Source organism: Homo sapiens, chromosome 5 (genome assembly GCF_000001405.40).
Source record: "Homo sapiens chromosome 5, GRCh38.p14 Primary Assembly".
NCBI lineage: Eukaryota > Metazoa > Chordata > Mammalia > Primates > Hominidae > Homo > Homo sapiens.
Window position 1 is genome coordinate 86,418,930 of NC_000005.10, and position 11,906 is coordinate 86,430,835.

The 11,906-nt window shown below is 32.2% G+C and overlaps 1 long non-coding RNA gene across 3 annotated transcripts in view; it reads right to left on the reverse strand.

The window, feature by feature from the left end:
- LOC105379064 (uncharacterized) overlaps nucleotides 1–11,289 on the reverse strand; it is a 77,685-nt gene extending 66,396 nt beyond the window's left edge. For 2 of the 3 annotated variants that reach the window (XR_948537.3, XR_948535.3), the window contains exons 1-2: nucleotides 10,689–11,289; nucleotides 6,453–6,532 (exon numbers count right to left, since the gene is read on the reverse strand). This is a non-coding gene — a long non-coding RNA (uncharacterized LOC105379064). The remainder of the gene's footprint in view (nucleotides 1–6,452; nucleotides 6,533–10,688) is intronic. The other variant, XR_001742789.2, reaches the window with a different exon arrangement.
- Nucleotides 11,290–11,906: the final 617 nt, after the last annotated feature.

Genomic DNA, 11,906 nt, shown 5'->3' on the forward strand with positions numbered 1-11,906 from the left:
TCTTGTTTATTGCTTTATTTGAGACAAGGTGTCTCTCTCACCCAGGCTGGAGTGCAATGGTGCGATCACTGCTCACTGCAGCCTTGAGCCCACAGGCTCAAGCAGTCCTCTCATCTTAGCCTTCCAAGTAGCTGGGACCACAGGCATCCACCACCATGTCCAAATATTCATTTCATTTTATCTTATTTTATTTTATTTTATTTTATGTAGATACAGGGTCTCCCTATGTTGCCCAGGTTGGCCTTGAACTCCTGGGTCTAAGTGATCCTCCTGCCTCACGTTCTTAAAGTGCTGGGATTACAGTTGTGAGCCACCATGACCAACCTAACATTGGTTTACTGTGAGGAATATATGGGACATTAGTTTTGTTAGGGTGCATGATCACTTAAGATTTTATACGTATACATATATACATCAGGTAATATACATATACATATATACATTAGATTACACATATACATATGTACATCAGGTCTATACATATACATATATACATTAGGTTATATACATATACATATATAGATTAGGGTGTGTGATCATTTAAGATTTTATACATATACATATATACATTTCTTAAAGTGCTGGGATTACAGATGTGAGCCACCATGCCCAGCCTAACATTAGTTTACTGTGAGGAATGAATATATATAGATATACACACACATATATATATGTATATATATGTGTGTGTATATATATATGTGTACATATATGTGTGTGTGTGTGTGTGTGTGTGTGTGTGTATATATATATATATATATATATATATATATTCTTGGTTATCCAAGAAGAGGTTTGACTAAGACCATATCTATCTATATATATGTATGTGCATGTGTGTGTGTATATATATATATATTCCTCACATTATATATTTATATATATATTCCTCACAGTATATATTTATATATATATTCCTCACAGTATATATATATATATGTCACAGTATATATATATATATGTCACAGTATATATATATATACCTCATAGTATATATATATACCTCATAGTGTATATATATATATTCCTCACAGTATATATATATAGTATATATATATTCCTCACAGTATATATATATAGTATATATATATTCCTCACAGTATATATATATAGTATATATATATTCCTCACAGTATATATATAAATATATATATTATATATATATATATATATATTTATTAAGTGCATACTGTGCCAACACTGTTCTAAATCCTGAGAATTCTACAGGTCTGAATAAAATCCAGCCCTGAAATAAATAGAAGAGATGGACCCTTGCCTGTAAATGTAGGAGAAGCTCCCTTAAAGGAATTCCACTTAATTGAACTGTATGACATCAACTGATGCTCTCTGTTCCTACTGTAACATGTAATTGATAGATGTCCATGGTGCACTGAGAGTTAGGTTAATTTGGAGAATATATATATATATATATATATATATATATATATATATATATTCCTATATATATATATATATGTTCCTATATATATATATGTTCCTATATATATATATATGTTCCTATATATATATATACCTCACAGTATATATATACAGTATATATATAGTATATACATTATTCCTCACAGTATACAGAGTATATAAATTATATAGTATATTTTATTCCCCACAGTGTATATATAGCATATATCTAGTATATATATTATATATAGTATATATACACACACTATATATTATATATAGTATACATATACACTATATATATTACATATATAGTATATATATTCCTCACAGTATATATAGTATATCTATTATTCCTCACAGTATATATAGTATGTATATTATTCCTCACAGTATATATATACAGTATACATATATACTATATACAGTATATACTATATACACAGTATATACTATATAGAGTATGTATACAGTACACATACATACTGTATATATACTGTGAGGAATAATTGATATACTATATATACTATATATACTGTGAAGAATGTATATACACTATATATATACTGTGAGGAATATATATACACTATATATATTTTATACTCTATATACTATATATACTATATACTCTCTATATAGTATATGTTGTATACATATACTATATATACAATACATACTCTATATACTATATATACTCTATATACTATATATACTCTATATACTATATATATTATATATACTATATATAATATGTATATACTGTATATACTCTATATACAGTATATATACTATATATACTGTACTATATATACTATATACTATATATACTATATACACTATATACTATATATACTATATACACTATATACTATATATACTATGTATACTACATAGTATACTATATACACTATATATACTATATATACTATATACACTACATGTACTATATACGCTATATATACTATATATACTATATACACTTTATATACTATATATGCTATATACTATATACACTATATATACTATATATGCTATATACTATATACACTATATACTATATATACTATATACTATATATACTATATATACTATACATACTATATACTATATATACTATATATACTATACATACTACATGTACTGTGTATATATATACTGTGAGGAATATATATATACTGTGAGGAATATATGTATACTGTATATATATACTGTGAGGAATATATATATCTAAGATTTTATACATATACATATATATTTTTTTTCTGGGGACATATATACATATACATATATTCATATTTTTCTGGGGACTTGGGATGAATGGTTGTGTGACTAGATGTGAAATATATAAGGAGAGGAGATGAAACTCAGTGTTGAACATACTGAGTTACAGCTGGTGTTGGACATACAGGTGGAGTTGTCCATAAGATAGCTGGATATGTGGTTCTACAGCATGGAAAAGAGATCTAAGCCAAAGGTACAGACATAAGTATCATAGGCAATGAGAAACTGACACCATGTGATATTGGATGGGGTTATCCAAGAAGTTTGACTTAAGACCAGTGGCAACTGATGAATTTTCTAAAGCTAAATGTATCCAGTAGTTTAAATCCAACTTCATACCAAACATTTTCCCACTTATAGCCATAAACAAAGATTAAAAGAATCTAGTTTGATTTTTTTCCAAGTAAAGATGGTAATGAATAGTAAAATGATTCAGAAAAAGAAAGCCAGAATATAATTCAGAAGCCTGAATAATTTACAAATTAGAGACACGAAACCCAAAAGATTAAATATAAACTAGTGACTGAAAAAGGCACATGACTGATTATTCAAGGCACATGACTGATTACTCCTTCTATCTAAATCAGTAAAACACCCCCTACCCTACCTTCACCAGGCAGTACTGGGTAATGTCATTAGCATTCGACTTCTTCAAAGAGGAAAAGTTAAAGGAAGTACAGCAAAGTATACTCATATCTCCTTTTTTTTCAAGTTAAAGATAATAGAAAACCTGCCATGACATAAAATCTGCAAATATAATTTTAAAAATGCCAAAAAGATGAAAAGAAACTCAAAAGTATGGATCTCCAATTTCTTCCACTTTACTCTGAATAACAAAGCTGTTTTTCACATATATTGTGAACCTTTCAGCAATTTGCTGGAATAAAGATAAATCACCCTGCATTTCCATGTAATAAGAATGCTCTGCTGTCAGTCAGAAGTAGAGATTGTGGAACCTGATTAAATAATTTTTCATTCCTTTTCACTCTGTTTAAGAAAATTGTACTCCCTAAATTCATATAAAATACAGTTTGGTTTGCTATAACAACAACAACATAAAAGAAAACAGATGAATAAAATTCTAATGTTAGAGTACATTTTAAAATCACCAATTTAAAAAACCATATTAATTTTTTCAATTAATTTTCTGTATATTTCTTCATTAAAAGTGAAATATTTTAATACATCTCATTTCCAGTAGAAACATTTCAAGAAATATTTAATGCATATCCCCCAAAGCTTAAATATTTTATGGTCTCTTTTTCTTTGAATTTAAAAGTGCTTGTATTTCTAATATTAAATCAGTAAAATTGAAATATTCATATTCTATTTGTCTCTAAATTAAGAGTTCTCATTTTTCTCCATTCCTAAAATGTCTGTCTCAGCTACCTGAGAAGTAAAACACAGGGCACAAAAATAATAACCTGAAATAATCTGAAGGGCTTTGTTTTTATCTATGTCTATCAGTTTTTGTTGACTTAGCTCATCTCGCCTACTTGTAATTCTAAGATTTAAAGAATCACTGAATAATTTTGAGAAAAAAATATTTTTCCCTTTCTGGTGTTTACTTTTTTGTCATTATTATAGACTCACAGAAGAGATAGATTCAAGAAAAATTCAGAACATTAAATAATACAACAATCTGTGCATATTCATACTGACAATGCTAACAAAAGACAAAATGCCATAAAGAAACAGGAATTTGTTTTACCTGTCTAGGGACAACTGAACTTATTTTTTCAGTATTACTGTAAAGTAGCTCTTCAAGTGGAAAGACATATTAAAGATAAAATATTCTAAAGAAAGATACATTTAATATTTTTTGTCAGTCTTTACATGATTTTTACTCGTACCATAAATCAATAATGATTTTAGTCACTAATATTTATCAAATATTTTCAAATCATTCTACAAAGTTCTCATTTAAATGACAATTATTTTTCTTTTATATCCATATGTTATCCATTTATATAATATTTAAATTATACAATTATTAAGATAGAATTCACAGCACAGGGTGGTAAAGTATTAGTATTGCTCTATTTATTAAACCAGTGGGAACATATATATTTCATTTATTATTATAATTAAAGTTGTGTCTCTCTGTTGTATACACTATTTTATGTGTATTTTTTTAAAAAAATAAGTTCAATTGGTATAAACATAATTGGGAAAAAATAGTCCATTCTCCTGCTAAGTAGGTAAGACTATTTTTGGTGGTGAATGCAGAAAACATCCCCAAATTAACCTAACTCTCAGTGCACCATGGAAAACTATCAATTACATGTCACAGTAGGAACAGACAGCATCAGTTGATGTCATACAGTTCAATTAAGTGGAATTCCTTTAAGGGAGCTTCTCCCACATTTACAGGCAAGGGTCTATCTCTTCTGTTTATCTGCGATCTTACATTTCGGGGCTGGATTTTATTCAGACCTGTAGAATTCTCAGGATTTAGAACAGTGTTGGCACTGCATGCACTTAATACTTGTAAAATGAATAAAAGAATGTAGAATTACTGAAACATTTACACATTCATTTTACTTATGCTTCTATCACAAGAAATTAAGTAGTTCTCATTTCAATATTTTGTCATTTACATCTTGCTTCTGCACTTAGTAACTCAGAATTAATTGGGTGATAGTAATTTCCGTCTCCAGATTGTAGTTACATGGTGAGACATAGGAAAATGAGTTTCAGGGATTTACGTGATACCTGATGTTTTCAGGCATGAAATGAAGTTGTATTTATTATATATCATTTTAAAAAATCACTTTGATGCTCTCTAAAACATTCTGAAATTTCTACCAGAAAAATGAAATTATTTAAAGAGTTACAAAAAGTTATAATCACAGTTTACCTAGAAACTGAAAGGGAAATATTTCAAATCCTTGGTTTTCTGAAATTGAAATAACCCTTTAGAATCTTAAGAACAGTGATATGTTTCGACAGATATTTTATGATAAAATTAACCACCATGACTAACAGCACTGAGTGTTTTTGACAGGATATAAGGCCAAACACTTTGTTGTATTATTATTTGCATTCAGGATTAATTCTGTCCATGCACAGACACAAATGTCGTATTTAATCCCATAGAACATAATAACCACTTTATAAACATAGAGCTATCCACAATATCAGTTTATTAGCATTAGGAATTACAGAATTCTATCTCCAGCTGTTCTTTGTGAAGTTCAGAAACCAAACAATTAAACAAGAATACATTTACATTTCTAAGTGCTCAAGATAAATGGTCTCTCTGGTCTTCCCTGTTACGGAGAACTCCATAAATCTAATCCTTGAAGATATATCTACTGAGGCAATGTCTACATGACACCAAAGCATTCATATGAAAAAGAGAAAACTGAATGATCCAAATGTCTCCCAATATCTGGGGTTTTGGCCTCATGTAGATAAAACACTTGAGACACTGAGACCTTTCATTTAGTGTATGTGTTCTGAATCACTTATATGCAGTAGCGAAACAGATTTGAGCAGCTCCCCACTGAGCAATGTAACATTCACATCAAAGCACAATCTTGAGTATGAACATCTGCCTAAGAACTAGGAAACACCCCTAAATAAGTGTAGAGCCTCAGTCAGCCAAGCCTAAGTTAGGTGAATTTTATAAGATCTAAAATTATACATGTGGATGTGGATAGATGATAGATAGATAGCTAATAGATAGATAGATAGATAGATAGATAGATAGATAGATAGATAAATAGATAGATATCTGATATACGTACCCACACACAGATGAAGAGGAGAGTCTAGAAGTGTCTATGCCAAATTATCTTTGAAATAATCCCTTTACGTTGTCATTCCCCTGTTGAAAAATTTGTAATGCTCTATCACTTTTCAGTGGTTTCTGAAGAGTTTTTGGCTATAGAAGCTTTTGTTTGAATGAAATTTTACATAGAAATTCACTATGCAAAATATATAAGAGCAGTTCTGCACTGATAAAAGCCTAAAACCCTGTTGAAGTGGCCCCATAGATGCAACAGAACACAGGTTGACAACCACTAATCCATGCAATAAATCCACACTCTTGTCTGCCTTTCATAAATCTGTCCCAACTTACCTATCTTTCATTTGAGCATTCATTAATTCAAAAAATATTAATTGAGCAATACTTATGTTAGACACTATAAGACACTGAAGACACAAATATAAATAAGACTATGGGTGGGGCACAGTGGCTCACACCTGTAATGCCAGCACTTTGAGAGGCTGAGGCAGGTGGATCACCTGAGGTCAGGAGTTCGAGACCAGCCTGGCCAACATGGCGAAGCCCCATTTCTACTAAAAATACAAAAAAAATTAGCCAGGTGTGGCGGCACATGCCTGTAGTTCCAGCTACTCAGGAGGCTGAGGCACAAGAATCATTTGAACCTGGGTGGCAGTGGTTGCAGTGAGCAGAGATCGCACCAATGCACTCTATCCTGGGCAACAGAGTGAGACTCCCTCTTAATAAAAAATAAATAAATAAGACTAAGACTGTGTTCTCAAGAAATTTACATTCTAAAAGAAAAGGCAAACATAAAAAAATTAATATAATGTGATTAGCATCATGTCTGTACATATGTCACAAAGGAAAGAATAATTAATCATATAGATTAGTAAAGGAAAACTTTACCAAAACATATGTTTGAATTGGATCTTGAAAGAAGGCACAAGGAAATAAAGAATGTATAGGAGTTTGATGGGTGAATAAATGGGTAAGGGTAATTTTTAGTAGAAAAGCACAGAACAAAAGCACAGGACATGTGAGAATGTGGTGCCTTTGAATAACAGAGAACTCTAGGGTGGCTGAAATGTAGGATAGGAAGGGAACTTAACTACTCACAGAGCAAATTAAAGGGTACATTTCCCCATAATCAATGGGAAGCAATCCTTGAAATAGCCATGTAGGTCCATATTTAAAAGCAATAAAACCTATTTATTAAGCACACGTCTTCGATATCAGACAAATCTTAATTTCATTTCTGGTACTCTTACCATGTTTTAAGGCAAGTACTAGGTTTCCATGTCCTCATGCACAAACTGGGGTAATATCTATTTGACAAGGTTACTATAGAGATTATATAAAATCATATACGTAAAGTCAGTGCATAACAAGTTGTTATTACTATCATTGTCATCGTTATCCTTAGTGTTTGGTTTGGTCTCTCCTCATAACCATGTTTGTTCATATTGTGTTCCTAAAACACATAGAATAGATCCCTTTTTCCATCTATTTAACTAAAATGGACTTATCCTTCAGTCCCAGGCCAAATTCCTTTGACAAGACCTTTCCTGTCTGTGAATATTAAGAACACTTAAAATCAGTACCTCCCACCTAATTTTTAAATAATCATTATCATATGTAAAATATGTAAATATGCATATATATATATATATATATATATATATATATATATATACATGTTTTGCCTACCAAACTAGTTTGTAATCTCTATAAAAACTCTAACAATATTTTCTGATTTCTTTACAAACCCTTGTGCCACCACCATCAGACTCTATTTACATACTCTCCACAAAATCACTTTCAAATCCTGTCACTTCTTTCTTTCCCACAGCCAACTTAGAGCTCATTAAGACTTTCATTATTTGACACAGCACTATTTTCCCATTTATTATTGCCACATCATTTGGCTTTCCATCCAGTTTGGAAAGACACAGTAACTCCTTTCAACAATGCTCTATTTGCTTCCTAGAATTATCTATCTCGGTGACCACTTCCAACACATCGGACCTGCCAATTTTAACCCCATGACAAATTGCAGTATGGTTTAGCCCCTACTGCTTCTACACAGGTGTTGCTATAGAAAATCATGAAAATTTGCTAATTGTTTTCACTACATATTCATGCACCCTAAACATGGAGAAGCTTTCAGTTCTAATCAGATATCTTTTAATGTTTTTCTAGCTGAGTTCCAATTTTATTCCCTACACATCTCAGCACCCACTACTTGTTTTACTTTCCAGTCTGCTGTCCATTTCCCTTATTTTGTGTAGATAATTCTACTTAAATTATTTTCAAAAATGAGTTCTTCAGGTAGTTATTCCTTCATTTTACTCACAATTTTAAAATGCCCATGATTCTTCTCCCATCCTTTTTTTGTTATTAATTTTAGAGGAAGGTACATTCAGCTCTGAACTCGGGAGGTAAACCAGGTCTCTTTACTTCCTCTAGACTTTTATTCTATCAACTATATTCTCTTATCATTTTAATTTTCTCCACTCTATATTGAAGCATGAAAATTTAACAAGTGAATAAAGGGGGAGATTTTATTTTTGGCAGAGGAAACTGTGCAAAAGCACAGTCTAGTACTAATAAACTGTGTACTAATAAACTCAACTTCTTGTGTTAAGACACAGTTTTATATTTCTCATAGAATTAATCTACCAAATTATCAAGTTAAGGTTCTAACATATGAGAAAACATTATGTTTATGTTGCCTTCATTTACTCAACCTAATCAGTCCTCAAACTGTTGCCATTTGGCATTCATCGCCACTACTGGAATAAAACTACTTTCTTGATTATCACAAATGTGTTTATAAATTCCAAAGCATGTAATCTGGTGTTGATTACTTCATTCTTCTTCCTGAAACCCGTAAACTTAACAAAAAAAGCAGGAAAAGAAATTTCATCTTCAATGAACTCACAGGCCAGGAGCTTTGACTCATGCCTGTAATCCCAGCACTCTGGGAGGCCAAAGCAGGTGGATCGCTTGAGCCCAGGAGTTCAAGAACCAGCCTGGGCAATATGGCAAAACTTCATCTTTACTAAAAAATACAAAAATTAGCTGGGCACAGTGGCACAAGCCTGTAGTCCCAGCTAGTTGGCTGGGGCAAGAGGATCACCTGAGCCTAGTGAATTAGGTGAGATTCACTGCTGAAGCTGGAGCTGGAATTATCACACCCAAACATATTGCCACTATGTATTAGAACTATGTCAGAGTGAACCATAGGGAGAGAGTTAACAAATGATGACTGCATATGGAATGCGAATATTCTTCCAAGTGCTTTCCCTAACTAACTTTTTTCTCTATTTTTCCCCATTACACTGATTTTTCTTTCTTCCAGACTTCAACTCTAACTTCTGTGTAGCTTGATACTAAACACATTGTTGGTTCTCTGGAGAGACAGAACCAATACGATGTATGAGAAGATTTCACAAGATCGCAAAGGTGGAAAAGTCCGACAATAGGCCCTCTGCAAGCTGGGGAGCCAAAGAAGCCGGTAGAGGTAATGCGACTCACTTAGCAAGCCTGAGACCCAGGGAAGCCCACTGTGCAACCCCCAGTTCGAGGCTGAAGGCCGAAGAGCCCCCAGGAGGCTCCTGGTGCGGGTCCCAGAGTCCAAAATCCAAAGAACCTGGAATCTGATGTCCAAGATTAGGAGGAGTAAAGCATCCAGCTCCAGAAGGGAGGAAGAGACCAATGAGAAAGAAAATCTGCCTTCCCAGTTTGTCCCATTGAAGATACCAGTCACAGGATGGTGCCCACCCACACTGAGGGCAGGGCTTCCTCTCTCAGTCCACTGATTTATATGTCAATCTCCTCTGGACACCCCTTCATAGACACACCCAAACACAGTGTTTCCTCAGCCATCTAGGCATTCCTCAATCCAATCAAGTAGATACCTAAAATTAAGCATTACACAGTCAAATCATAAGTAGAATGTTGTTGGGGAGAAGGAAGCATATACTTCCTATCATTGGACTCGTTGTACTAGTTTTGAAGGGGTAAAATACATTCCAATGACATGGTTCCCAATATCAGAGCTGAATTCATGTTCTTTTGACAGAAACATTGGGTTACTACTAGTTTTAATGTTCCCATCACTGGAAGTTTTAGGAATGAGGACAATGCTTCAGGCACTATCTTTCTGTTTTCACATCTAAATGGCTAGACCTATCCCTGACCCCAAGTGGTAGGCTCATGACTCTTACCATCCCCAGACCACTTCTCTTACCTGTGTCCAAGCTCCCAAATCCTGATGTTTTCTTTTGATCTCCATACTTCCTTTTCCTCCATATTCTAACTCAGTCAAGTGTAGTTTTTTAACGTTTATACCATTTTTTAACGCCTATTTTTCCCATTTTTACCTGAAATTCTAGTTTAGTCTGCATCATTTCTCATTTTAATTGCTCTAATAGGTGCTGAGCCAGCATCCAGGATTTAAGCCTTCCCTAACCCATTCTGATGCACAGTGATAATATTTTAAAAACTCAAATAATCACACCTCAAATTATGTTCCTTCATGTTTCAATTTCTCCTCATTGCCTATTACCTAAATAAAGCTCATCACACTTCTTAGCCTAACCTTCACATCCTTCTTTAATTTGGCTTCAATATACCCTTCTAGCCTATATTCCACTGCCTTGCTTACATAGTCCACTATTAGCAAACAATGGCTCAGCATTGTTTCAGATACCCTGCTCTCCAGTCTATGTTTCTAACCACAGTTTTTATCCACTTAGAATGCCTTTCCATTATCACTGCTATAAAAATTCTAACATTTCTCAAGGACCAACTTAAATGTCATTTCTAGACAATAAATTAACTAACCCTCTCATTCAAATTGAAACACTTTCTTGTTTATACTTTCATAATTGTCAGAAGTATCCTTGTTATGGCGTTTATAAGATTTTTGTTTATTCTACATTTTATTTTATAGCCTTTATATTTATTGCTATTCATCTTATTTATGTTAATTTTATAGTTTTGTTATTTGTTATCTTTTTACTGGTCACAAGATCTAGCACAATACCTGTACACATAAGCATTTAAAAAGTAAAGTTTTATGTATTGTCTAAAAAGGAGATAGATATGTGACAATATGCAGTACTTTCTTTACACTTTTATATTTTTTAGTCTGGTAAACCTATCTACTTGGTGAATTTCCTTTGGTCTTCTTTCTACAGTTAATAAATGAAATGATGGGCTTTTTTTTTTAATGTGGTTCAATACTTCAAGGAAAACAAAACCTCAACTTTTCCTAGACTTAAACTTTAAAAGTAACAATAGAATATTACTCTTTTAAATTTCCACCTCCAGCAAAGAAAATCAGTGTCTTCCAACTGATGGGAGAAAAAAAAAAAAAAAAAAAAAAAACTAAAACTGTATTTTTTTTAATTTAAAGGTTTTTTCATATCAGATTTTAAAATAACAAAAATATCAGATTTTGAAA